Source organism: Homo sapiens, chromosome 8, assembly GCF_000001405.40.
Source record: "Homo sapiens chromosome 8, GRCh38.p14 Primary Assembly".
Taxonomy (NCBI): domain Eukaryota; kingdom Metazoa; phylum Chordata; class Mammalia; order Primates; family Hominidae; genus Homo; species Homo sapiens.
The window spans coordinates 11,841,441-11,868,097 of NC_000008.11; the positions used below are offsets into that span (position 1 = coordinate 11,841,441).

A 26,657-nucleotide genomic window follows, 5' to 3' on the forward strand; every position below is an offset into this window, starting at 1 on the left:
TGTTAACAAACATTCTAGGTTATTCTTGGCAGTTTTGGAAACAGTTCTAAGGCTGTGGTTCTCAGACTTTATATCAGAATTGCCTGATTGCTGGGAACAGAGACTGATACAGTAGGTCTGATGGGGTGCCCAAGAGGTTGCATTCCTAAATTCTCATGCAGTTTTCTAATCAGGGAGCAGCTGGAAAGGTATTGTGAGCTTGAATGTACCTGGGAAACTACCTGGGGTCTTGGGAGATGCAAATGCTGGTTCAGAGGTCTGGCCCTCTGACACTCTGATGAGCATTTCTAACAGGCTCTCAGGTGACGGCCGTGCTCCTGGTCTGTGGACCACTTCAGTATGGCTGAAGCACAATAAAAGAGGGCAAATTACTGCTTTCTTTAAAAAGAGTGGCAGCCGGGCACAGTGGCTCACGCCTATAATCCTAGCACTTTGGGAGGCCAAGGCAGGTGGATCACTTGAAGTCAGGAGTTCCAGACCAGCCTGGCCAACATGGTGAAACTCTATCTCTACTAAAAATATAAACATTAGGCCAGGTGTGGTGGCAGGTGCCTGTAATCCCAGCTACTCGGGAGGCTGAGGCAGGAGAATCCCTTGAACCCAGGAGGCGGAGGCTGCAGTGAGCCAAGATCATGCCACTGCACTCCAGCCTGGGTGACAGAGAGAGACTCCCATCTCAAAATTTTTTTTTTTAAATGCAGAGGTTGGACTGCCTACCTATACTCTAATTTCTATTCTGGAGTGATTCTCTGGAGAGGCTAGGTAAAGACTGAAAAGGCATTGTTACGTCCACCTGTCATCTCACTTGGACAAGAATCCAGGAGAAACTATTGAACTGAGGTGACAAAGTTATGATCAATGTGGTGATCTGAGGTGTATTAAAACACTGAGCTCTTTCCCAGTCACAAACACTGCAAGGCAGGTGTTTCTAACAAAGCCTTAAGCTGATGTCGACATGCCCCACAATTCCTTGTCACTCACCAGCACATCCCCGCTGGCTCCATGCTAGAAGCAGGCAAGGAGCTGCAGGTGCGTATACGATGGAGGTGAGGGAGACAGTGCGCATGGAATGAATCAACTCAGTTTGGGAGCAGGGAGAACTTTATTGAGGTTATGAATATATTCTACTTGAAACTGGAAGGATAAGTGGTTATGAATTTGTGGCTTATGGTAACCTTTGTTAAGCATCTTTCTTTTTCTTTTTTTTTTTGGTGAGACACAGATTCACTCTTGTCCCCCAGGCTGGAGTGCAATGGCGTGATCTCGGCTCACTGCATCCTCTGCCTCCCAGGTTCAAGCGATTCTCGTACCTCAGCCTCCCGAGTAGCTGGGATTACAGGCATGTGCCAGCATGCTTGGCTAATTTTGTATTTTTAGTAGAGATGGGGTTTCACCGTGTTGCCAAGGCTGATCTCAAAACTCCTGACCTCAGGTGATCTGCCCGCCTCAGCCTCCCAAAGTGCTGGGATTACAGGCTTGAGCCACTGCGCCCGGCCTTTTTTTTTTTTTTTTTTTTTTTAATTATTGAGACGGAGCCTTGCGCTGTCACCGAGGCTGGAGTGCACTGGCACTGTCTTGGCTCACTGCAACCTCCGCCTCCCGGGTTCAAGCGATTCTCCTGCCTCAGCCTCCCAAGTAGCTGGGATTACAGGCATGTGCCACCATGCCCAGCTAATTTTTGTATTTTTAGTAGAGGTGAGGTTTCAGCATGTTGGCCAGGCTGGTCTTGAACTCCTGACCTTGTCATCCTCCCACCTTGGCCTCCCAAAGTGCTGGGATTACAGGCGTGAGCCACGACGGCCGGCTGTTATGCTCATCATGGCACTTAAGAGATGCTTAACAAACCTTTCCTACAATGTTCCTCAGATTTTCAGAGCTTATTTGATCTAGCATCTGGTTCCTAAATTCTGAGTCACATCAGAAGCCAAACTTGAATGCTTTTGGAAAGAGCTAGCCTCATACCACTTCAGTTGGGAAGGGGAGTACTGAGGTGTACCTTGGCAGGACAGTGGAATGATTGCTGGTTCTTCTAGTTTGCTCTATACCAAGAACTGCTATAACATGTTTCTAAACCAGGGCTATGCAAAGCACTAGAGTTCCTGACCAGCAATGCAAACCAGTGGCATACAAATTCAAAATACTGTATACAGGCCCTGACTCCAGCCCAAACCAAGGCTGGAGGGCATCCAGGGGGATGTGGTTCCCCACGGGGTAGCATCTTGGTTATGTGAGATCACCAAGACACCAAGCCTGTTTTATGAGCTGAATCCTCAGCTTGTTGCTGGATTTGTGGCTGATAAAAAATACAGGCAGGGCCCAGTGGCTCACGCCTGTAATCCCAACACTTTGGGAGGCTGAGGCAGGCAGACCACCTGAGGCCGGGAGTTTGAAACTAGCCTGGCCAACATGGTGAAATCCTGTATGTACTTAAAAATACAAAAATTACCCAGGCATATTGGTGAGTGCCTGTCATCCCAGCTACTCGGAAGGCTGAAGCAGGAGAATCGCTTGAATCTAGGAGGCTGCAGGTTGCAGTGAGCTGAGAAGGCGCCACTGCACTCCAGCCTGGGAGACGGAATCTCACTCTGTCAGTCACAACAACAACAAAAAAATAGAGCACAGCTATGTTTTGAGTTCTTAAGCAAGGGCAAGCTTACCAGGCACTTACAGAGAAGGTTGACGAGGATGACAGGGAACTAATTGGGGGAGGGATGCCATGGTTGAAAACATGGCTGGGGCAGCGAGAAGTTAAGATGAAGTCCCAAGAGTCGCAAGAACATGCAGTTCCAGGACGTGATTCTCTGCAGGGACAAAGAGAGACAGCAGCTACAAGTCTATAGGCAGTGACAAAGGATCTGAGATCCCATCAGAGTAGACTTCAAGTTGGAGAAAACTTTTATTGGCACAGGCATTCCTTGTTAACTTGACAGGGTGAAGCTGTAATTTTTCAAAAACAGTAAAAGCTGGTTTCTCCTAAACTATTTTCCTTGTGGTAGTAGAGATCAGTGGGTCAGAAACAACTCCTGACCACTTGGTTTCCTTTTGAGCCGCGTCATAAGGAGGCAATCTGTAAAACTAGCACAGGTCTCCCGCTGTTCCACTGGCTCACCCACATGATTAGCAGAGTGCACGAAAAAATAAAACTTCTATTAAAGAATCATGCTGAGCACAAGATCAGAGAGGTTGTGACATTGCAAACTCGATAGATGCAGGGGGCCTGGGAGACTGGCGTTCTCCAAAGGGCTCCCAACACCGTCTCTCCTCTGATTTCTGTGACAAATGTGGAAAGCTACTTGCTTGGAGGTACTGGGGGAACTGATGGGGGAACTTTCATCCTGTTAGGAACTCCGCTTTCCATTCCTGCGTCTCTGTCTTGCTCCCTGGAGATGGATGGATCACGGAGGGGGCCACAGTCAGCTGGGGCAGCAGGTACTCCCTACGGCACTAGTCTACAGGGGGAAGGACGCTCTGTGCTGGCAGCGGTGGCTCACATGGCCTGTCTGCACTGTAACCACAGGCTGGGATGTAGCCAGGACTTGGTCTCCTTGGAAGACAGGTCTGATGTTTGGCCAATCCAGTCCTTCAGACCCTGTCTGAAACTTGTATCTTACGTGAACTTAAAGAATAAAATGCATTTCTACCCCGATCTCGCCCCCAGGACTGGCACGACAGGCCCACGGCAGATTAGATCTTTTCCCAGTACTGATCGGTGCGTGGAATTCCAGCCACCACTTCTGATTCGATTCCACAGTGATCCTGTCCTCTGAGTATTTTAAAGAAGCCTGGGAATAAAAAGTAAGGTGCTTTTAAAGTGTGACAAGGGTCAACCAATATAGTCAGACTCATCCTTAAAAGACCTTAAGTCACTCATCCCTGGCCACTCCTGCTGTTGGCCCACTAGCACAGTCCTCAACACCACAAGGCTTCTGGAGCCGTGGGGCACACCTCCACGGGCAAGCCCCCTGCCCGGTCACCCTTCCCATCACAGGATCTGGCGCGATGCTGTGGGAACTGTTGCAGGCGTTGGCTCTGAAGCTGCTCAGAGTCTGCCCTCACAGCAAAAGGGAACTCCTGACTGCCTGGCACTTAGGAGGAGCTCACAGCCTGGCCGTAGGTCCAGGGTTTAAGGCTGTGCGGTGGGTAGAACAGAGAAAGCCGAGATGGCCACGGGGTGTGGCTCACAATTCACTGTTCTTGGCAGGAAGGGGGCAGCCACTCACCATTGTCACCCCAGTCAGTGTTCCAGGAGTTGGCAACCAGCCAGTAGGGTGTGCCATTCTCCACTCCCCAGCCCAGGATGCGGATGGCATGGCCACCCATCATCTCTCCGGTGACGTGTTGGTACACTCCTGAAAAGGGAAGAACTGGCTGAGACCGAGACCGGGCCACTGTCCCACGCCCCACAGCACCCCCCACACTCAGCTGGTCATGCTCCGGGAAGGAGAAACAGCTTCCAGAGGGAACCTGCTGCTCCACCAGGAGGCTCCAGGGGGGGTCCCACAATACTGGGGAATTAAATATATTTTTGAAGGCCCAACACACTCAAAGTTGTTGAGTAAATATTGAAATAGATTCCTACAAAATGTGCTTGTTGGCTTTAAAAATAGAATTTCTAATACATTCTAATTGATAAAACATTTAATGCTAGATGACTGATTCATCTGTTCTTTATACTGGGATTCCATGTAAGTAAGGGTTTGTCAAAAGCGTTACACGGCTTAAAGAGTTTTAATAGCTGCTCCAGGTACACCCTGAAGAGGTGAGGGAGGAGAAGGGAGGACTGGTGGCAGCTAATGCTAGCTGATGGGAAAGATACTGGCTAAGGGGCTCAGGGCTGCCCAACCAGGCTCTCGGGTGGGGAAATCACTGTCAAAGTGGAAATGCATCTTTTAATAATAAGGGCGAGGACTATGCTAAGAAGTGCCATCTTCACAGAAACTTTTTCTTGCCAGAATCATCTTCCTTTGTCAAACTGTTGTTTTACAAGTTTCCAATCTAGCAAAATATTAATGGGATAGATGCAGTCAGCAAAGACTGTTCATCTGGAGCAAGGGATTTCTAAGACAGGACTTGGGGATGGGGACTGTCCAGATTCCTTGGTTGGAGTCCCTATGGCACTACCCAGGGCAAGGTCCTCCCTGTGTGTTCATCCACTGGTGTGAGGCACGATCTAGGCCTTTGCAAAGAGAAAGATGAAGAAAATGTGTCAGCCAGTGCAAACACGAACGGCCTGCCATTATAACAGAAACATGCTGGTAAAGCAATGCAAAGCCAGGAAGGCGAGGGCAGGCGTGGCCAGCCACCAGGGAGGGGGGCGTTCCCACAGAGAACATGTATGAGCTGGACGCTAATGGATGGGAAGGAACTAGCCCAGAGGCTCTGGGAGAGGCCTCTGGAATTGTGTGTGTTGGCACAACACCTGGACAAAGACAGTCAGGTGCCAGGCTGGTCCACAGAGGAGTGAGCCTATATGGAAGGCCCCACACAGCCCTCTTCCCCAGCCCCTCACCTGCCTGCCCAATCCAGCCCTATTGGTCAACATGAACCATCCTGGCACCCAGGCTCCCCTCCCGACCCCCACCCTCTATTGCCATCAGCCATCAGCACGCACCTGACTTGTAGAGCAGGAAGTCCGAATACACAGAGAAAGCTCCCTCCACGGGGCCGTTTTTGTAGATCTCGGCCATGATGTCCTTCTCGCTATTGGAGACGCTGTAGGAATTGTATCCTGGAAAATGAACCGAGCTCGGGGTTGGGGAGGGCAGTGACCGTGCCTCGTGGCACGCCACGGTCAGCCAGTCACTGATTTCTGGTGGCCTCCAGGGGAAGACTGCATCTAAGGGGACTTGCCCTGCCAGGGGAGCTCAAGGAAGGCTCCCCTGAAGAACTAAGGACAGGGCTGGGGCTGGAAGCTCAGAAATGGGAGAACGGAGCAATGAGCACGAGGCCCCGGAAGAGGCCAGGATACCTCAAGACTCCAGGACACGCCACTCCCTTGTAAAAGGAGGGCTTTGGTCCCTTCCAGTTTGGAAGGGCTGAGGCTGAGTTCAGGGTGGAACAGGCAGAAAGTGGAGAGTGTGCTGCTTCTCCTGGCAAGAGGGCATCACTCCCCCTCCTCTATCCTAGAGTTCCGGGACCCCAAGGCTCCTCAGCCCTGACCTCTTCGCTGCAGCGTGAGGAGGGATGCAGCAGCTCCCCAGCCTCCACGTGCGCCGTGGCCAGGCCCCAGGCCCCTTACCGTAGTGCTTGTCCTGTTTGTAGGTCGGGCTGTAGCCAGGCTCACAGATCTTGCTACACTTGGGGGTATCTCCCTCCCCCGTGCATGGGGGCCGGGAGCCGTTGACGTGGTGCTCACAGGGAGGGATGGAGTACGGTCTGCACCCTGATGGGACGCGGGAGAAAGCGGAGTCAACCTACAGCCCCCACGGAGAAGACCTGGGGCAAGGCAAGCCTCGTGCCTGCAGCATGGACGCCAGGCAGGTCCTGCCAGAGGCCTGTGCACCTGGCTAGCACCTCTCAGCAGCCCCTCTGTCTCAACCCCCAGTTTATAAAGGCAAATAAAGCCATGATGGTTAATTGCTCAAACAATCCATCTGGCCAGAAAGTGGCCAAGGGGACACACTTACCTACATGGGATTCATAGAGGCCACCAGAAACCAGGCCTTTTCTTGTCCAGAAGTTCCAAGCTTCAGCAGGATAGCCACCATTACAGCTGAAAAGACAGCCTCTAATGAAAACCTCTGAGAGAAGCACCACCAGCTCTCCAGACCACTGTGTGCTACCCAAGTGCCCGAGGCCACTCGTGGACCCACCCCCAGCTGCAGCAAGTGGTGCGAGCAGACCTCCCAGACCCCAAACCCTCCAAGGGACGCTCCCTAGATAAGCACAGCTTGCAGGGAATAACCGCCAGCCCCACCCCTGCCCACAAAGATCCGGGAGAAGACAGGAGGCTCTCCTGTTCATGTCCATACCAGACCAGGCTACGAGTGCCCTTCCGGGTAGAACACTGATTCTCAACTGAGCAGACGCTAAACTTCCCTAAGGTACTTAAAAACACCACCAGTTCTCTGAAATGAGAATCGCCAGTGATTCCCATTTAACTAGTTAGGGGAGAAGCCCATGCATTTTTTTAAGCCCTCAGGCATTTCGGATCTGCAGCCGCCAGTGAACACCGCTACTGCGGAACCAAGGCGAGGCTGCAGGCAGCTGGAGCAGAAAGTTCTGTGCCACCACCTTGTTGTTAAGGTGGAGCCATCCCCGCTAACTACACATAAGGAAATGCCCCAAACTGGTTCCCCAAGCAGGAAAAAGGAACATGCGATGACACAAACCAGACCAGGGGCCAGACATTCCACCACATTTTCTGAAACTGACTGTTTTGCTGGGATGCCACCCCTCAGACAGCTCTGCCGGGCCAGCCTTGGTTCAGGCACCTCCCAGGAAGCAGCAGCCTTGCCAGGCCCTGCCTGCCAGACTCTCGGAGTCTCCCCGAAACACTTCTGACTCGCAGCAGTCCCAGGAAGTCCTCAAAGTCCCCTCCACTGAGAAGCTGGGGCCCAGGGTCTCTCAGCACTAAACCCGCTGTGGAAGCACAGCCTGACTCACCCGTCCCCACACATGCTGCCACAGCATGTGAGCAGGTCCTCCGCCGACACCTCCACGCTGACGTGCGCATTGGTGTGGATGCAGATCCGGTCAGAGATGGCTTCCACAGCCCCGAAGGCCTGCAGGAACGAGCCCCACCGGGTGAGGCTGCCATGTCCGGGCTGGGCCCTCTGCAGCAGTCCCCTCAAAGGGCCACAGGGGCACCTCAGACCTTGTAGGCAACTGATCTCTCAACACCAGGGGACGCTCCTGGGGCTCAAACTCAGCTTTTATTTTCTTTGGTAGAAATGGGGTCTTGCTACGTTGGCCAGACTGGTCTTGAACTCCCGGGTTCAAGTGATTTGCCCACCTTGGCCTCCCAAAGTGCTGGGATTAGAGGCGTGATGAGCCACTTGCCCCACTCTCCTGCCTCAACGATTTGCCCAACTCAGCTTTTAAAGCAAGAGAAGCACCCCCGTGAACCTCTGCCTGGAAACTGGGTTCATTTCTGAAATCTGCAAAATGTGTAGTATTAGTTTGTATGTGTGTGTGTGGTTTTTTTTTTTTTTCCTGGAGGCGGAGTTTCACTTTTGTTGCCCAGGCTGGAATGCAGTGGCGCAATCTCAGCTCACTGCAACCTACGCCTCCTGGGTTCAAGCAATTCTCCTGCCTCAGCCTCTATAGTAGCTGGGATTATAGGTGCCTGCCACCAGGCCCAGCTAAGTTTTGTCTTTTTAGTAGAGACAGGGTTTCACCATGTTGGCCAGGTTGGTCTCAAACTCCTGACCTCAGGTGATCCGCCTGCCTCAGCCTCCCAAAGTGTTGAGATTACAGGCGTGAGCTACCGTACCTGGCTGTGTTTTTTTCTTAACAAAAAACACAGCTCACCCAGAAAATAAATACTGTTGTGATCCACTTGTATGAGGTCCCTAGGAGTCAAATTCATAGAGACAGAAAGTAGAGTGGGGCTTACCAGGGGCTACAATATTGGTGTTAATGGGGACAGAGTTTCTGTCTTGCGAGCTGAAAAAGAGTTCGGGGGACAGATGGTGGTGGTGGCTGAGCAACACTGTGAATGTACTTAATGCTACAGAACTGTACACTTGAAAATAGTTGCTGGGCACGGTGGCTCACGCCTGTAATCCCAGCATTTTGCGAGGCCGAGGAAGGCAGATCAACAGGTGAGGCGTTTGAGACCAGGCTGTCCAACATGGCAAAACCCCATCTCTACTAAAAATACAAAAATTAGCTGGGCGTGGTGGCACATGCCTGTAGTCTTAGCTACTGGGGAGACTGAGGCAGGAGAATTGCTTGAACCCAGGAGGCAGAGGTTGCAGTGAGCCAATATCCCACCACTGCACTCCAGCCTGGGTGACAGAGCAAGACTCCATCTCCAAAAAAAAAAAAAAAAAAAAAAGAAAGAAAAAGAAAACAAAAGAAGATTGCTAAGATTATTACATTTCTGTTACGTGTATTTTACCACAATTAAATGACAAAATTAAGACAGCTCACTGACACTAAAGGGATGCTTTCTTGAAGCAGAGTAGCAGTGAGAGCTCCTGGTATTTGCGGACGGGCCAGCATGTCAGGGAAAGGGAGCTGCTTCGCCACCTGTACACGTGGACTTGCAATCTGCTGGATGCTCTGCCCGCCACTCCACCTAATCCTCGCCATCATTCATGGCCAGAGGGATTGTGATTTTTGTACTGATGGAAACTGGGACTCAGAAAGTTTCTATAACTTGCCTTGTCAGAGTTGTCCCCACCCCGAATCCCCCAAGACTCTCCAGTGTTGCTCCCACTTTCTCTCCAGCGCTTCCCCGCCAGCCAGCAGGGCCTTACCCAGCAGGAGCCACAGGAGCCCTGGTCTCTGATCTCTTTGATGGTGGGACACTGTGGCCATTGTTCCCGTGCATCGAAGCTTGCAGGCAGCTTCAGGTCCTCGGTAAACATAACTCTGGATAAAGGAAGGTCTTCATTACAAGCTCTGATCCCACAACTCCCTCCCCAATCCCTGCAAAGGCCACTTTGGCTGGGCCACACTCCCCTAACAAGGAAATGAGCACAAGACATGCCGAAGAAGGCTGCAGACAGGTGTCCTTGGTAATTTCATAAAACAAAAGGAAATTCTGTTGCTCAATGCACCTTTTGATTTTTTTTTTGGGTGGGACGGGAGGGTGGGAGTGGACAGAATTTCACTGTGTCATCCAGGCTGGAGTGCAGTGGCGAGATCTCTGCCCACTGCAACCTCTGCCTCCTGAGTTCAATCGATTCTCGTGCCTCAGCCTCCTGAGTAGCTGGGATTACAGGCATGCACCACCACACCCGGCTAATTTTTGTATTTTTAGTAAAGACAGGGTTTCACCATGTTGGCCAGGCTGGTCTTAAACTCCTGGCTTCAAATGATCTGCCTGCCTTGGCCTCCCAAAGTGCTGGGATTACAGGCATGATCCACCACACCTGGCCTGACTTGCGATATTGTACGCTTCTTTCTAGGCTTATGTAATGGATTTTTTAAGATGAATTTATCCACAAATTATAAACTCATTTTTAAATAAGTTTATTCAGTCCAGATAGTGTTTCTTGCCCTGCTCTCCTGCCTCAACCTCTGCCCAGGATCCTCTCATCATTTCTCATATCATCCCCATTGTGCAGAAGGCAGTGTCGTGCAACTTAACTACCCCATCCTCACGTGGGAAGTGGCATCATCTCAGCTCACCGCAACCTCTGCCTCCCGGGTTCATGCGATTCTCTAGCCTCAGCCTCCCGAGTAGCTGGGATTACAGGCGCCCGCCACCACGCCTGGCAAAGTTTTTTATTTTTAGTAGAGACGGGGTTTCATCATGTTGGTCAGACTGGTCTCGAACTCCTGACCTCAGGTGATCCGCTTGCCTTGGCATCCCAAAGTGCTGGGATTACAGGCGTGAGCCACCATACTTGGCCTCATCTGGCTTTTCTTAGATTTCCCTTAAATTACTCAAGATTGAGTCTGCCCACATAGTGGGGACCCAGACCTTGTCTGTCACATCTGCGGCTGAGACACCTTGGAGAAGCACAATAGAAAACACTGGGGGTGGCTCATGCCGGTAATCCCAGCACTCTGGGATGCCGAGTTGGGCAGATGACTTGCTGAGGCCAAGAGTTCGAGACGAGCCTGGCCAGTATGGCGAAACCCAGTCTCTACTAAAAATACAAATATTAGCCGTGCACGGTGGTGCAAGCCTGTGGCCCCAGCTACTCAGGAGGCTGTGGCATGAGAATCGCTTGAACCCGGGAGACAGAGTTTGCAGTGAGCCAAGATCGTGCCACTGCACTCCAGCCTGGGTGACAGAGTGAGACTCTCTCAAAAACCAAAAAAAAGCACCAGCATCTTCTCTACTAATAACTTGAGAAGGAAAAAATAAAATAAAAAGAGAAAGTAATATAAAAATGAAAAGAAACAAGTACTGTACCTCAAGCGGTGTCGGCAGCCCTGGGCAGCATGAGCCCTGCGGACGCCAGAGAGGCCTTCACTCTCCCACTTCCCACTGCCCCAAACCAACGCCTGCCACTCACATTACAGCGGTGCAGAGGAGCAGGCACTCACCTCTGGGGTGGCTTGGGCCCACCCAGGAAGGTACCACATAGCCTCTTCAAGTAGCTCATGTCCACGTTGTAGAAGTTGTGCCCGGCCTGGAAGAGAGTCACCCACTGACTGAAGGGTCTCCCGGGATGGCGGTGGATGGGCACGCTGCCCACACACGAAGCCCAACCCAGGGAAAACCAGAGACCCTACCCAATTCAAGGGCCCAAGGGTTGGGGGGCACTGGGGAACAGCCCAGAGTGACACACGGGCAGAGTGGGTGTCTCCCCTGATCTGCTCCCATTTGCTGACAATCAGAGACCCTCTCCAGCCCTCAACATGGCTCACTCCTCATTCTTGGTTCTCAGTCCGAGGGTCAGGGCTGGGCAGAGACAAAGGGAATCAGGGGCGGGACTGATAAACTGCCACTGTGCCACGGCGGGCGTCACAGGGGCTAGCTGGTTTTGAACACTTCCGAAGCTCACTTACTCCCCCACACACCTCCACGTGCACACAACCATATATTCATACACATGCACACACACTCATGCACACACGTGGGGTATGGGACAAAGGAGGGAGGCGTGGTCCAGAGCCGACATGACTCAGGGTCAGGGCCATTTTTCAACAGTCCAGGACAATGTTCTGTGGGCCACAGTGAGGGCTGGCTTCCCATTCCTGGAGTCAGTGTGCACAGACCGACCTGGGAGGGGACATACATAGGACGCAGCCCCACAGCCTACCTGCCACGTGGTATTCCGTTTGTTGACATAGTTGACCAGCTCATCCGACAGGGGATGGAAAGAGGGCCTGCTCCGGGCATTGGCCAACACCAGCAGGCAGCAGAGGGAGGCCCAGAGCTGCCACATGTTGGAAGCCGGATCCTAGATCCACCTGGAGAGGACAGAGGGCATCAGGACACCTCTCTGTTATGTGGGTCGAGGGCTCACACACACAGGGGCACCGTCTCGGGCATCAGTGGGGACCCCCATGCTCGTCCTGGCCCAGGCGGAGAACTCTTAAGGAGCTGAGGTGTCTATGGGATCCCCGCCCCCCTGCCCGAAGCACGCCATGACCTCGTGTGGGTCCCCGGGGGCCAGGCGGCCAGAGCCCAGAGAGAGAGCCAAGGGGCTGTGCTGGACGAGACCGAGTCCAGGGCCTTCGCTGCTATTTTTAAACGGCCTTTGCATGGATTTGTAGAACAGCTTGAGACACTTTCCCAAGTGAGTGATATGAAACAGTTAAGAGCCTGTCTGTGTGATTACACCCTAAGTGGAGGACCCAGGGGACAGGGAAATGTAAGAAAAGTTACAATCCAGGAGTCCTAGTTTCGACAGGACACAGACAAACAAGCTCGGTGTGGGCTGGTGGAGGTTGAGGCTGAGAGGTGGGGCTGGGCTGGCCATCCACCCACTCCCGGGGCCTCTCTGGTTTTTCCAGTCAGCCAAGGGCTCTGCTTCCGGCTGCGGAGATGAGGCTTCTGAGAAGGAAAACTCTCACCTCGATGCCCCAGCCGTTTGATCTTGCACTGGCTCATGAGTCACAAGCCAGTGCTTTCCAGCTTGAACTCTGAGTCACCCTCCTAAGTGAGCAGCTCAACAAAAGCAATACATGTCTCCTGGGCGCCTGCATCCAGGGCTGGGGAGAGCCGCGGCGCGGGGAGCTGGGTGAGGCAGGGGTTCCTGTCAGTCACTCCAGGGGCTCCCACGGGTGGGTGAGGTGTTCTACCTCCCACAGGTCACAGGTCGTCATGAAAGTCACAGGACTGCGGTGTCAGTGCTTAACAAACTGCCTGGCACCTAGGGGTTCTATCTGAAGAACAATTTAAACTTCATTGTTGCTTAAGCAACAATTCATCTAGGAGAATAAATATATGAGGACAGCAAGATGGCTCTGGAAAAAAGCTTTTTTTTTTTTTTTGAGACAGGGTCTTGGTCTGTGGGCCATGTCACCCAGTCTGGGGTACAGTGGCACAATCTTGGCTCACTGCAGCCTCCACCTCCCAGGTTCTTAGCCTCCCAAGTAGCTGGGATTACAGGTGTGCGCCACCACACGCACCTAATTTCTGTATTTTTAGTAGAGATGGGGTTTTACCATGTTAGCCAGGCTGGTCTCGAACTCCTGACCTCAGGTGATCCACTGGCCTCAGCCTCCCAAAGTGCTGGGATTACAGGTGTGAGCCACCGCACCCAGCCAGTGGAAAAGAGCTCTGACGGGAGCCCAGCCCTCTGGGGCAGCACATGTGTCGTAAAATGCTGGGTGATGCTCATCAGCACAGCACCCAACGGACCACTCAGAAGCACATCCTCCGTGGAGGAATCAGCGTTACCTAGGTGAGGCCAGAGAGGAAACAGGACAGTGCTTGTACAAGTGGCTGCCTGAAGTCTGAATCTTCACACTGGACTCCTCACACACAAAAAGTACCACATGCAACACAGAATTGTTTTGTTTTTTTGAGACGGAGTCTTACTCTGTCCCCCAGGCTGGAGTGCAATGGCATGATCTCGGCTCACTGCAACCTCTGCCTCCTGGGTTCAAGCTATTCTCCTACCTCAGCTTCCCGAGCAGCGGGATTACAGGCATGTGCCATCATGCCCAGCTAATTTTCATATTTTTAGTAAAGACAGGGTTTCACCATTTTGGCCAGGCTGGTCTCGAACGCCTGACCTCGTGATCCACCTGACTCAGCCTCCCAAAGTGCTGCGATGACAGGCGTGAGGCACCGCACCAGGCCCACAGATCTTAATTTAAAAAGTTTTATGAAAAAAATCAATGCCCTTTGAAAAACAGGCTGGGTGCGGTGGCTGATGCCTATAATCCCAGTACTTTGGGAGGCCAAGGCAAGTGGATCACTTGAGGCCAGGTGTTCAACACCAGCCTGGACAACATTGTGAGACCCCATCAATATAGAAAATAAAGTTTTTTAAAAAGGTAATGCTGGAGGAAAGCTTAGGATTGACAGGAAACACAGCCTTCAAGGGAAAATGCTTGCATTACACTGAAAAGTCTCTTTAAAACAAAAACTGACGAAACAAAGCAGTACTCACATATACTTTAGGCTTCGTTTCCACAAAAGGCTCTTCAAAGTCAGAAAAATGGAACCAGCATAATAGAAAAACTACAAATGGCCAACACAGATAAAAATAAGTTCAACCGGCATGGTGGCTCAAGCTTGTAATCTCAGCACTTTGGGAGGCTGAGGCAGGTGGATCGCCTGAGGTCAGGAGTTTGAGACCAGCCTGGCCAACATGGTGAAACCCCGTCTCCACTAAAAATACAAAAATTACCCAGGTGTGGTGGCAGGTGCCTGTAATCGCAGCTACTTGGGAGGCTGAGACAGGAGAATTGCTTCAACTCACTTGAACCCAGGAGGTGGAGATTGCAGTGAGCCAAGATTTCACCACTGCATTCCTGCCTGGGTGACAGTGAGACTCTGCCTCAAAAATAAAATAAAATAAAGTAAAATAAGTTCAACCTCAGGGAGGTGCAGATAAAATCAAGGAGGTATTCAGCATGTATCAGATTGGCAAGGGCTGGACAGTTTGGCACTTCTTGCAGGGCTTAGGAAGTGGGGAAACGGAAGGCATGATAATGAGTGCCTGGGGTGGGTGGGCACAACCACCGAGACATCAACCAGCAACGCCCACCAGTTTCTAAATCTGCATGTCCTGGAAATGAATCAAGTATCCAATAACAGAGTAACTGTTAAATTACGGTAAGTGGTTAAATAGAATATGAAGCAACCATTAAAAAAGCAATTAGTTGGTGGGGCACGGTGGCGCATGCCTGTAGCCGAGGCGGTTGGATCACCTGAGGTCAGGAGTTAGAGACCAGCCTGACTAAGGTGGTGAAACCCTGTATCTACTAAATACAAAAAATTAGCCAGGCGTGGTGGCGCATGCCTGTAATCCCAGCTACTTGGGAGGCTGAGGCAGTAGAATCACTTGAACCCAGGAGGCAGAGGCTGCACTCCAGCCTGGACGACAGATTGAGACTTCATCTAAAAATAATAATAATAAAATAAAAGTAAAAAACCAACTAGTTGAAGTGAATTCTATTGTATTAACAGAGTAAAAATGCCCCAAGTCCCAATGTTAAGTGGGGAAAAAGCAAGCTGTGGGTGACTGAGGACCATAAGCATCTGACCCTCTCAGCAATCTACACATGTAGGAACACTCCTGCCACTACATGCAAAATGCCAAGGAAGATGCACGGCAGTCGGTCACTACGGTGGGGAGACTTTTTTTCACAACATACCCTTACTTTTAAGAAAAAAAAAAAAGTGAGTATGTTCCTATTATTTCAGTTTTGTTTCTTCTAGGAAAAATAGTTGGCAGTATTACTAAAGGCCCTGAGCCACCAAACTGATAAAAGGACATTTGTTTTAATGATTCCTCAGAGCATTTCCAATTTGGTCTTCCTTCCCACCAATGAGGCTTCCTCCCTAGTGACTTTGAGATGGGAGTCTCGCTCTGTGGCACATGCTGGAGTACAGTGGCGCAATCTTGGCTCACTGAAACCTCTACCTCCCAGGTTCAAGTGATTCTTGTGCCTCAGCCTCCTGAGTAGCTGGGATTACAGGCCTGTGCTACCACGTTTGGCTAATTTTTGTAGTATAGTCCGTGTTTCGTTATGTTGGCCAGGCTGGTCTTGAACTCCTGGCTTCAAGGGATCTAACTGCCTCAGCTTCCCAAAGTGCTAGGATTACAGGCATGAGCCACTGGACCTGGCCCCTAGTGACTTTCTTAATAATCTTCCCCTTTTCCGTGACTCGTGGGTAGGCAGCGTCTCACGTGGCCATGCATGTCAGTGACCCACACAGCCTCCACACTGTGAGGTTAGCATGTCTCGTGGGCAGACAGCAGTGTCCTTGGATGTACCCGGGGGCTTTGTGCTGTAGAGATGTTATTTTAAATAATAAGCCAAGTCGAGGATGGGAGCGTTTCCATGGCAACTTGAATTTTAAAACCAAGATTTCTTTGGTTACTGTGGTGGCTGAGAACACAGGCAGCTGCCATGTCCAGTGGCTCTCAACTCCTGGAGGACAACCTGCCGTGGCCATTCCCTGGAGTCCCACAGGGCCCCCTCGCCACTTCACTAGCAGGCGACTTCCCTGCACCCGCCCTCCTTTTCATGGTTCCCAGGCCCTCCCACACCTCCCTGTGCTCCCTACTCATTCCCAGGCTCCCCGGGGCCACCGCTGCCAGCCCCAGGGCCCAGCCCATTCCACTAGTCCCAGGCTGAGCGCTGGGAAGTTCTTTCAGCCCCGCACCTTGGCCCAGGGCTGTGGTGTTCCTGGCTTCTCTGCTCCTCCCCTATGGTATCCAGGTTGGGGCTCAAGGGGCCGCCAGCGTGCTGCAACCGGACGATAAAATGAGCCCTGCACTTGGAGTCAGGAGACCTGCATTTGGATCTGGCTCTGCCACTGACTAAATGGCACCCTTGGGGTCTGACCTTCCCCAAGCCTCAGTTTCACCACCTATAAAATGGAGCTAGTAACCATCGTGTCTCAGGTGGCAGTCAAGAATGAAATGAGGAGGACCAAAGCGCCGGCACATGCCTGGCATGCAGTGATAAGGTAGGAAGGGCACTCGCTCCAGCGGGCTCTGTTCCCTCCCTCTCTCCTCTAACACTTCTAGCTCTCAGTTCACACTAAACCTATTCCAATAGGTCCCCAACGCCAGGAAGAGTCTAAATGAAAACAAGTTTGTTTTTTTTGTTTGTTTTAAGACAGGATCTCACTCTGTTGCCCAGGCTGGAGTGCAGTGGCACGATCATGGCTCACTGCAAACTCTGCCTCCTGGGCTCAAGAGATCTGCTCCCCTCAGCCTCCTAAGGAGCTGGGACTACAGGCATACACCACTACGCCCAGCTTTGTATTTTTTGTAGAGATGGGGTTTTGCTATGTTGCCCAGGCTGGTCTCAAACTCCTGGACTCAAGTGATCTGCCCGCCTTGGCCTCCCAAAGTGTCGGGATTATAGGTGTGAGCCACCATGCCCAGTAAAACAAGCTCTTAACTTCAATTAACCCCAGCATTTAACATCCAAAAATGCTTCCACTCTTGAGGGTCCCGAGACTGCTGAGAACTCAAAAAGTGTCAAGCCAAACACAGAGGTCCTGACAGCAGTGGCAATCTCACTCCATTGTGCAACAGGCGCCTTTCTCTCCACAACAACGCAAATCTCAATCACTCTGGACAAATGCAGATGGTGAAAGTGACAAGCTGAGCTGTTAACAGCTTTCCAGGGTCTTTGCATGGGACAGCAACCCATTTTCACTTCCCTTTATATAGGCACCCACTTCCCTTTTATTTCTTAATTCTGTGCTTTCTGCTCTGCTTCTTACAAGAGATGATGAACACAAAGTCCTTATTTCACGAGGGAAGGATGTGAACTCTTGTGTGCCACAAGACCCCTTTCCAGGATGCGGGCTGGTGGAAGAACAGCTGCGAGCAGATGTCATCTCTAGACCTTGGTCTGCTGTGCTGCTTAGGCAGACCTGAGTTCCAGTGCACCCCTCTGCCCCTTTTCCAAGCTAATCTTTGGGTTAAAAAAAACAGAAAAGGGTGCTCCTCATATCCTCTCTCTCCAAACCTGCAGAGCACTTATGAGAAAGCACGCTCCACCCCGGCTCTGTAGAACGTTGTTATGTGCCAAAAAGAGTGTGCGGCCAGGCGACTCTATCAACCAGAGCACCTTCCTCCCCCGGCAAACGGCACCCTAGACTACCTTGAAGCCGTTTCCAGGACAAATAGGGACCTTGCGATCCTGGAAGGAGGTGGAATGAAAGTCAAAGGAGAGGAGGTGCGGCTAAGTCACAGGAGGTGTTAAGTCCTGACACCCTTAAAGAATCAGTTTTGGGCTGCCACCAAGCTCAATAAAGAAGGCTTTCTGGCCAGGCACAGTGGCTCATGCCTGTAATCCCAGCGCTTTGGGAGGTCAAGGCAGGCGGATCACCTGAGGTCAGGAGTTCGAGACCAGCCTGTCTCTACTAAACAAGGTGAAACTCCTGTCTCTACTAAAAATACAAAAATTAGCCAGGCACGGTGGTGGGTGCCTGTAATCCCACCTACTTGGGAGGCTGAGGCAGGAGAATCACTTGAATCCAGGAAGCGGAGGTTGCAGTAAGCTGAGGTCACACCACTGCACTCCAGCCTGGGCAACAGAGCGAGACTCTGTCTCAAAAAAAAAAAAAAAAAAAAAAAAAGGCCGGACACAATGGCTCACGCATGTAATCCCAGCACTTTGGGAGGCTGAGGCAGGCGGATCACGAGGTCAGGAGTTCAAGACCAGCCTGGCCAACATGGTGAAACCCTGTCTCTACTAAAAATACAAAACTCAGCCGGGCATGGTGGTGCTGCCTGTAGTCCCAGCTACTCAGGAAGCTGAGGCAGGAAAATTGCTTGAACCCAGGAGGCAGAGGTTGCAGTGAGCCAAGATCACACCACTGCACTCCAGCCTGGGCGACAGAGCAACACTCTGTCTCAGAGAAAAAAAAAGAAAGAAAAAGCTTTCTTACATGGTCACAGAGCCCTCAGGTAGACTGCACTTTAAATCTGTAAAGGATTTAAGGAGACAGGATATGTACACTTAAAATTTCCAAATAAGCCAAGTTGCTAGCTCCTGGCTGATAGACAAAAAAAGTGAAAGAATTCTTAGCAAAGCTGTCATGCAGTATTTTGCTCTTCCTCATTCGTTGGTGCTGTGGCTATACTGCTGGCTCCTCTCATAGTCAGCTCTAAAGAATTGAAAGTTGGCCGGGCACAGTGGCACACACCTGTAATCCCAGCACTTTGGGAGGCCAAGGAGGTGGATCACCTGAGGTCAGGAGTTCGAGACCAGCCTGGCTAACATGGTGAAATCCCATTTCTACTAAAAATACAAAAAATTAGCCAGGCGTGGTGGTTGTGCACCTATAATCCCAACTACTCGGGAGGCTGAAGCAGGACAATTGCTTGAACCCAGGAGGTGGAGGCTGCAGTGGGCTGAGATCGCACCATTGCACTCCACCTTGGGCAACAAGAGGGAAACTCCGTCTCAAAAAAACAAAACAAAACAAAACAAAAACAAAAGTCAAGTGCTTACATTTTGCCAGAAGCCACAAATGAAGACTGTGCCTTATAGGCCAGCAGAGCGGCTAAGAGCACGGGAACAGTGGAAAGGTGGGGAGACTGTGAAGGCTCAGTAAGACCTTCCCAGAGTACTTTGTTTCTTTCTCTTCTATAAAAACTAGTCTTGGCACTCACCGCTAATAACGGCAGTTGCTCCTGAAGTTTTGACCACTTAAGTGCAACCACAAAACAAGACTTCGGCGAGTTTCATCTTCCCCTACTTCAACCTGCCAGACACACCTCAATGCTGGAGCAGCCCTGCACTGGGTGGGAGTGTGCTGACCTCAACTATGCTCTGTTGTGACCCAGAGACCTTTCCTTTTTGAGTATGAATCACAGCCTTGCTGTGGCCTCTGATGTGTTACGTCTTTGCCCCTAATGGAACTGTGTTTAGTAGATTCTTGGCTTATGATTAAATTAAGGACAAAAACAAAATCCAAAGGGCTCTCAGGCCTCGGTCTCATCAGTCCCCTGATGAACGGGCACCAGAGGCCCATCTGTCCCATGGAGCAGGCTCCCTGCAGCTGTAGCCCCGAAGCAACTGAAAACCTGTCAGAAAACCCACCCAGCACACAGGTGTGCAGAGGCAGCAGTGATGCTCACCAGCCTTGGAGGCTTCCAGGGAACCAGGGGAAGCAGAGAAGCCCCACTCCACCTCCCTCACCTGAACCAGGTTGGCCACTCACAGGTCCTTCCCCGTGCTGCCCACCTGCCAATCATCTATGCAAACCAGGTACTGCAGGCCCAGCCCACGCAAGCTGCTCTCCATAGGCCTGAAGACACCTATGAGTGGAATATTGTACAAGGTCAGCCACAGCAACCCCACATCCTGCAGACAAAATGACTACTGTACACTTGAAACAGCAGACACTACGAAGGCCCTCAGCAGTTATTTTTTGTTGTCGTTGTTGGTTGTAAACAAGACAATTTAGTCAATATTCTGGAAAGTTCTGAAAGCTTTTACTCCCCATTTCTGTTACTGACTTGCTCAGATGCTGACAGAGCCAATGCATTCACCACGTCTGCATCGGATACCAAAGGACCTTGGGCCTGCTTTATAAAAGCTTTTAGAGATCCTTTGAGATTGCAATGAGATTAGTGTTCTGCTCATTAGTGTTCTGCCTCTCCAGCTTGCAGAACACGGCGGTTCCCTAATTCAACCGCAGGCGAGATTACACCAGGGTAGTTGAGGCTGACGCGAAGGCCAGCCACAGAAAGGCCTAGCTCTGGGCCGGGCATGCTGGCTCACGCCTGTAATCCCAGTACTTTGGGAGGCTGAGGTGGGCGAATCACGAGGTCAGGAGATCGAGACCATCCTGGATAACACGGTGAAACCCCGTTTCTACTAAAAATACAAAAAAATAGCCAGGCATGGTGGCAGGCGCCTGTAGTCCCAGCTACTCGGGAGGCTGAGGCAGGAGAATGGCGTGAACCCGGGAGGCGGAGTTTGCAGTGAGCCGAGATCACGCCACTGCACTCCAGCCTGGGCGACAGAGTCAGACTCCATCTCAAAAAAAAAAAAAAAAAGAAAGGCCTAGCTCTTGGATCCAGCTAGGTCCTGTTTTCCTCCCTTGGGGCCCTGGGAACAGATACCCATCTCGCAAGGCTGATGGAAGATACAAGGAGACACTCTTTTGAAAGTGCCTACCCTGCACCAGGCTCAGAGCAGCGCCATCTGGGAGAAACTTCCTCAGTCACTGGGAGCGTGAAAAGCCATCTCCTTATACATAGGACAGCCAACGTTTGCATCCCAGAGTCATCATTTCTATTTTCAGAAGTATCCTAATTTGGATGAAAAATAATGGAAATTGTACTATCAGTGACAAGGCCTTAAAAGTTGATTTGTTCTGCTGTCTTGACTGCCAAAGCAAAGCATGTCCCAAACACCAGGAAGGCTGAGTGGGTTGGGAATGGGTGGCAGGTGGCCCCCAGCACTCTGATGTGGTTTGATGATACGCTTCCAACCCTCGAATGGGAAAAGCCTGTGGCTGGCACCGCCCTCCTGGGACTTGCGCAAGCCAGGAAGCTGTGTGACTGTGTGTGTGCACATTCTGCCAGAGTCCAGGTCAGCACGTCAGAGGGTCATGAGACAGCCCGGCCCTCCGGGCTCTTAGGGCAGAATATCTAGATGTCTTCTACAGGGCTCTCTACTGGTCCCGTTACCATCTTGGCCACATTGGGCCCATCCTTCTCCATGCATGCTTGCTGGTGATGCTAGATTATCTTGATGACCAGACCAAAGAAGTTACTGGCCTGGTAAAGACAGATAACACAGTCAAGACTGCCAGCCACACATCCTTCTCAGCACCCAGCATTTAGAAAACATCAGTTCTGGGCTGAGCACAGTGGCTCACATCTATAATTCTGACACTTCGGGAGGCCAAGGTGGGAAGATTGACTGAACCCAGGAGATTAAGACCAGCCTGGGCAGGATAGTGACCTCGTCTCTATATAGAAAATTAAAATTTAAAATAAAAAATAAATAGGCTAGCGGTGGCTCAGGCCTGTAATCTCAGCACTTAGGGAAGCCAAGACAGGCAGATCATGAGCTCAGGAGTTCAACACCAGCCCGACAAACATAGTGACATCCCGTCTCTACTAAAAATACAAAAATTAGCTGGGCGTGGTGGCACACGCCTGTAATCCCAGCTACTCAGGGGGCTGAGGCAGGAGAATCACTTGAACCCGGGAGGCGGAGGTTACAGTGAGCCGAGATTACACCACTGCACTCCAGCCTGGCGACACAGTGAGACTCCGTTTCAAAAAAAAAACAAAAAAACCCAGCAAATATGCCATCACTGACCAACAATAAAAACAGGAAAAGTGTCACTCAACCCATTTATGCCAGAGGTTGCAATTTTTTAAATTTTTGCACGAGTAAAAACATCAGACCTTGGCGATGACCTTGAGCAGTATGATGTAAAAACTCCCACATGCTTAGCGTTCTAATAATGGAACACTAGGCATAAGTGGGTTACTGTTGTCCTACAGCAAAGATTAAATTTGAATTTCTGGTCATGAAATTAAAACAGGGGTACCACTTCAAACCCATCAGATTGGCAAAAATCAAAGTCTGGTACTATCTAGTGTTGGTAAATGTGAGGAACAGGAACTCTGCACACTGCTGGGCGAGTAAATTGATGCAACCACACTGGAGAACCCTTTGCCAGCATCTAGCAAGATGGAAGATGAACACACCTCATGACCCAGAAACAAACTCTCCCACATGTGCCCTGCAGAAACTCTTCTAAGTATCTGGGAGACACAGGATATTTATTGTAGCATGGGATAATAGTGAACACGAAATAACATAACTGTCCCTCAGTAGATAAACACACTGGGCACTTAACACAAATGGACTAGAACTGGATGTAGCAACAGAAATAAATCTCACAACCGTGAGTGAAAAAGGATCCATGTAGTGTAACTGAAGTCATATAAACTTTAATAACATTGTTTATACACTGATGCAGAGTTTTAAAAGTACAAAAAGGCCTGGAGGTGACTCATGCCTTGTAATCCCAGCATTTGGAAGGCCTAAGTGGGAGGAGGCAAGGGGATCACTTGAAACCAGGAGTTTCAGAGCAGTCCTGGCAACAGTGAGACCCTGTCTCTACCAACGAAAAAAAAAAAAAAAAAAAAAAAAACCTGGGCACCGCCTGTGGTCCCAGCTACTTACTACTCGGGAGGCTGAGGTGGGAACCAGATCGCTTACATCTGGGTGGCTGAGGCTGCCGTGAGCCGTGGTCGCACCACTGCACACCAGCCTGGGAGACAAAGCAAGACCCTGTCATTAATCAAACAATAAATGAATGAATGCATGAACAAAAAAATGTGCAGAAGAATCCAAAAGAGGGGCAGCAGACAGGGAATACAATGGCCCTTGGAAGGATCAGGAAACAGGCACAGGAGTGGTCTACAGAGGCGGACGATAAGGCTTGAAACTAAAAAAGAGATTAGTTAAAAGTCTAAACACATGGCTGGGCACAGTGACTCACACCTGTAATCCCAACACTTTGGGAGGCGAGGCGGGCAGATCATTTGAGGTCTCTACTAAAAATACAAAAATTAGCCAGGCATGGTGGTGCATGCCTCTAATCCCAGCTACTCCGGAGGCTGAGGCAGGAACATTGCTTGAACCTGGGAGGTGAGGTTGCAGTGAGCTGAGATTGTGCCACGGCATTCCAGCCTGGGTGACAGAGTGAAACTGTCTCAAAAAAAAAAAGAAAGAAAAAAATGTCTAAACACAGAGTGGAATTTGATCCCTAAACCTCCTACCCCACACAAGCTAGGGTAAATATAAACATTAACAACCATGCCAGGGCGCAAGGTTTGCCTCCCACATGCTCTTTCTCAGGCAGCCTGGGACCAGACGTAGAGACTGCTGCCTGCCACCCTGATATCCCAGAGGCACAGCACATCTGTACATGCCTCCCCTAGACTCAACTGCCTGTCACCCCAACCATCTCCCTTTACATGGACCATGTGGAAGTGCCCAGTAAATATCACTCAACCGCACATGTTTCCAATAATTTCCTTAGGCCAGACCATTGAAAAGAGGCAGCAGACTGGGCGCAGTGGCTCATACCTGTAATCCCAGCGCTTTGGGAGGCCGAGGTGGGCGGATCACGAGGTCAGGAGTTCGAGACCAGCCTGGCCAACGTGGCAAAACCCCCACATTGGGATTTTTTTACATTGGATTTTTTTAGGAGAGACAAAAAATCTCTACTAAAAATAAAAAAATTAGCTGAGTGTGGAGGCACATGCCTGTAATCGCAGCTAGTTGAGAGACTGAGGCAGGAGAATGGCTTGAACACAGGAAGCGGAGTTGCAGTGAGCTGAGATCTTGCCACTGCACTCCAGCCTGGGTGAGAGAGTCAGACTCCACCTCAAAAAAAAAAAGGAGAGAGAGAAAAGAAGAATCGACATACCTGTAACTCCTCCCTCTCAATGTTTCAGTCCATATCTCGAAAGGACGGTATGTTACTCTACACAACCACAACTCATTACCAGATTTAAGAAAATTACCCCTCCACCGCGCGGTGGCTCATGCCTGTAATCCTACCACTTTGGGAGGCTGAGGCGGATCACTTGAGATCAGGAGTTCGAAAACCAGCCTGGCTAACATGGTGAAAGCCCGTCTCTACTAAAAATACAAAAAAAAAAAAAAAAGCCAGGTGTGGTGATGGGCACTGGCAATCCCAGCTACTTGGGAGGGAGGCTGAGACAGGAGAATTGCTTCAACATGAGAGGCGGAGGTGGCAGTGAACCGAGATCGCACCACTGCACTCCAGCCTGAGCGATAGAGGGAGTGTGTCTCAAAAAAAAAAAAAAAAGAAAGAAAAAGAAATTAAGAAAGAAAAGAAAATCACTGACAGACATCCCAAGGCACCCCTGAAACGTGACCTCCCTTCAATTCACTTCCCAATCCAACCAAGAGCAACAGAAAATATCTGTTACCCCTAAAATGGGTGCAACTTCTCTTCCAACTCCCAGGTCCAGCAGCTGGGGAAAGAAAAGAACCTGCCTACAAAAAGAGCCTCCCCAGTCTGCTAAATCAGCACCACATGGGCAGTTTCAACCTGGAACCAAAGGGCCACCACCCCTCACCGCCTAACCAGTTGGAAACAGGGCTGTCCTGAGCCAACACCCAGGAGAGCTGTGCCAGGGCCGTGTCTGGCCTGCGTTGCCACCTGGGGAGCAAGGGACCTGTGCCTTTCCACCAGGGGGTACCCCCAGCTAGAGGACAAATGACCAAAGACGAAGGGAAGCCTCTGTTCTCCAGGAGACGTTTGACTCTGTCTTTGGGAAAGCTACACAGGGTGGGCGGCCCAGCCCCTTTCTCCAGGAGCTGGCGGGTTCTAAGTCACCAGCACCAGAGCCAACAAGAAACAGTTCTTGGCCAGGCACCGTGACTCACCGGGAGGCCGAGACAGGCGGATCACCTGAGGTCAGGAGGTCAAGATCTGCCTGGTCAACATGGTGAAACCCCATCTCTACTAAAAATACAAAAATTAGCTGGGCGTGGTGGCGGGCACCTGTAATCCCAGCTACTCGGGAGGCTGAGGCAGGAGAATAGCTTGAATTTGGGAGGCGGAAGTTGTAGTGAGCCGAGATCGCGCCACTGTGCTCCAGCCTGAGAGACAGAGCCAGCCAACGCCCTCTTAGGCCTCTTCGCCTTACGTTCCTGAACGTTTGGATTCAAAGAGAGTGCATCTCAGCTATCCTCTCCTCCGGCAGCAGGCAGTGGGAATGTTTTTCCAGGCTACAAAAAGGTGCCAGGTCTGCATTTGAACCCCACAGCGTCACTTCTCCAGTGGGTTTGGGGGGTCTCTCGTCCGTTAGGAGGAGGAGTGTGGGGCCTGCGCTAGGGTCCTTTTCTTTGCCAGCCTGCTGGCTTTCTCAGCGCCTGGGAAGGGGGTGACAGAGGCCCACCAGGAAGCCAAGTGCAATTCACTTCCACCTGGGTCGCCCACCCCAGCCTGCCTGCAACGCCCCACACCCAGCACCCACTGCTCCCCAGAGGCCAACTCCCCCCGGCCTCCAGGGCTACTAACCGAGGGGGAGGTGGCGCCCCAGGGACTCTGCCCGGCCTCCCTTTACTGGAGTCCAGGAGCAGGGTGCGCCCCCGGCCTTCTCCCCACCGGCATCCAATCGCCCATTCGCCTCTTGGTTTCGCTGTCTGGTTTCTCTTCCTGTTTATGGATTTAACACCGTGCGGCTTCCTCCCCAGCCCACCCAGTGCCAGATTCCTGTTCTTCAACAGGACCTGTCTTCTGGGGTCCCAGGAATTGCGTGGGATCTTGCGCAGAAAGTTGGCCAGGCAAATCCTTCGCAATGAGGGGGAAATAAACCGAAAATAGATGCCGGCAGATGCGATTATGTCGGCAGTTTGGCCCGGAGACACCGAGGCCCAGGCGCTGGGAGCGCGGTCCCAGGCAGCAGTCTCCGGACCCGGCCGAGCTCTTCCTCGCAGGCGCCTCCCTCGGCGGTCCTGGCCGCGTCCCCGCTCCGAGGGCCGGGGTCCGGCGCACAGCCCGGGGAGGGGAGCGGAGGGCAGAGGGCTGGCGGGCGGAGCTGTTTTCTGCTTTTCTCGCCGACGCTTCGGAGCGCGCGGACTCCCACCCCAGCCCGCCCGTCAGGGACAGTCCCGAGGGTCCCGGCTCCCCGCCGGCCCCCAGGGACGCCGCGGGGCCGCGCCTGGGCCCGACTGAGGGCGCAGAGGAACCCGTCTCGGCGGCCGGGTAGCACCGTCCCCGCCAAGGTCACTTACGCTGCGGTGGCCCCGGGTCCCCAGCACTCACCCAGCGCTGCAGCCGAGAGCCTGCAGCCCAGCCTGCGCGCAGCGGAGCGGTTGGCGTTGCCGGAGCGGTTGCCGGAGCCCTGCAGCCGCCGTAGCCT

At 51.5% G+C, this 26,657-nt stretch overlaps 1 protein-coding gene across 13 annotated transcripts, besides 10 other annotated features; it reads right to left on the reverse strand.

Moving 5' to 3' along the window:
• On the reverse strand, positions 1,084-26,647 carry CTSB (cathepsin B). 13 transcript variants are annotated; one of them, NM_001384726.1, is made up of 12 exons: positions 26,561-26,647; positions 22,936-23,023; positions 16,418-16,500; positions 11,889-12,039; positions 11,170-11,255; positions 9,426-9,540; positions 7,606-7,724; positions 6,627-6,712; positions 6,239-6,382; positions 5,612-5,728; positions 4,221-4,349; positions 1,084-3,782 (listed from the first exon to the last, which is right to left on the reverse strand). In NM_001384726.1, the coding sequence occupies exons 4-12, from the start codon at positions 12,012-12,014 to the stop codon at positions 3,685-3,687; spliced, it is 1,020 nt and encodes a 339-aa protein (NP_001371655.1). In that variant the 5' UTR covers positions 12,015-12,039; positions 16,418-16,500; positions 22,936-23,023; positions 26,561-26,647; the 3' UTR covers positions 1,084-3,684. The 13 variants fall into 13 exon arrangements, with proteins under 13 accessions (NP_001371655.1, NP_680090.1, NP_001371653.1 ...); NM_147780.4 differs by lacking the exon at positions 16,418-16,500 and adding an exon at positions 19,966-20,039; NM_001384724.1 differs by lacking the exon at positions 16,418-16,500 and adding an exon at positions 19,921-20,039.
• Positions 6,690-7,384: an enhancer, noted in NCBI's record as "H3K27ac-H3K4me1 hESC enhancer chr8:11705639-11706333 (GRCh37/hg19 assembly coordinates)". NCBI's record gives its function as "activates a minimal SCP1, AML or CMV promoter by ChIP-STARR-seq in naive H9 embryonic stem cells {active_cell/tissue: H9 hESC(naive)}" and the evidence as "EXISTENCE:reporter gene assay evidence [ECO:0000049][PMID:30033119]".
• Positions 7,385-8,078: an enhancer, noted in NCBI's record as "H3K4me1 hESC enhancer chr8:11706334-11707027 (GRCh37/hg19 assembly coordinates)". NCBI's record gives its function as "activates a minimal SCP1, AML or CMV promoter by ChIP-STARR-seq in naive H9 embryonic stem cells {active_cell/tissue: H9 hESC(naive)}" and the evidence as "EXISTENCE:reporter gene assay evidence [ECO:0000049][PMID:30033119]".
• Positions 8,309-8,491: a silencer, noted in NCBI's record as "fragment chr8:11707258-11707440 (GRCh37/hg19 assembly coordinates)". NCBI's record gives its function as "represses an EF-1alpha promoter that drives an FKBP-Casp9 reporter gene in an ReSE screen in HepG2 liver carcinoma cells {active_cell/tissue: HepG2}" and the evidence as "EXISTENCE:reporter gene assay evidence [ECO:0000049][PMID:32094911]".
• Positions 11,670-12,277: an enhancer, noted in NCBI's record as "H3K27ac-H3K4me1 hESC enhancer chr8:11710619-11711226 (GRCh37/hg19 assembly coordinates)". NCBI's record gives its function as "activates a minimal SCP1, AML or CMV promoter by ChIP-STARR-seq in naive H9 embryonic stem cells {active_cell/tissue: H9 hESC(naive)}" and the evidence as "EXISTENCE:reporter gene assay evidence [ECO:0000049][PMID:30033119]".
• Positions 11,740-12,034: an enhancer, noted in NCBI's record as "tiled region #10233; HepG2 Activating DNase matched - State 5:Enh, and K562 Activating non-DNase unmatched - State 14:Gen5'". NCBI's record gives its function as "activates a minimal TATA promoter and a strong SV40 promoter by Sharpr-MPRA in HepG2 and K562 cells {active_cell/tissue: HepG2 | K562}" and the evidence as "EXISTENCE:reporter gene assay evidence [ECO:0000049][PMID:27701403]".
• Positions 15,862-16,395: an enhancer, noted in NCBI's record as "H3K4me1 hESC enhancer chr8:11714811-11715344 (GRCh37/hg19 assembly coordinates)". NCBI's record gives its function as "activates a minimal SCP1, AML or CMV promoter by ChIP-STARR-seq in primed H9 embryonic stem cells {active_cell/tissue: H9 hESC(primed)}" and the evidence as "EXISTENCE:reporter gene assay evidence [ECO:0000049][PMID:30033119]".
• Positions 17,549-17,598: an enhancer, noted in NCBI's record as "active region_27036". NCBI's record gives its function as "activates an Ori minimal core promoter by ATAC-STARR-seq in GM12878 lymphoblastoid cells {active_cell/tissue: GM12878}" and the evidence as "EXISTENCE:reporter gene assay evidence [ECO:0000049][PMID:35858748]".
• Positions 19,732-19,901: an enhancer, noted in NCBI's record as "active region_27037". NCBI's record gives its function as "activates an Ori minimal core promoter by ATAC-STARR-seq in GM12878 lymphoblastoid cells {active_cell/tissue: GM12878}" and the evidence as "EXISTENCE:reporter gene assay evidence [ECO:0000049][PMID:35858748]".
• Positions 25,911-26,120: an enhancer, noted in NCBI's record as "active region_27038". NCBI's record gives its function as "activates an Ori minimal core promoter by ATAC-STARR-seq in GM12878 lymphoblastoid cells {active_cell/tissue: GM12878}" and the evidence as "EXISTENCE:reporter gene assay evidence [ECO:0000049][PMID:35858748]".
• Positions 26,211-26,540: a silencer, noted in NCBI's record as "silent region_18944". NCBI's record gives its function as "represses an Ori minimal core promoter by ATAC-STARR-seq in GM12878 lymphoblastoid cells {active_cell/tissue: GM12878}" and the evidence as "EXISTENCE:reporter gene assay evidence [ECO:0000049][PMID:35858748]".

Coding starts and splice junctions, on each gene's coding strand:
- CTSB (NM_001908.5), bottom strand. CDS start 12,014: ATGTGGCAGCTCTGGGCCTCCCTCTGCTGCCTGCTGGTGTTGGCCAAT. Junction 11,256..11,888: donor AACGGAATACCACGTGGCAG/GTAGGCTGTGGG, acceptor ACTCTCTTCCAG/GCCGGGCACAACTTCTACAA. Junction 6,713..7,605: donor GGCAGCATGTGTGGGGACGG/GTGAGTCAGGCT, acceptor CTGTCTTTTCAG/CTGTAATGGTGGCTATCCTG.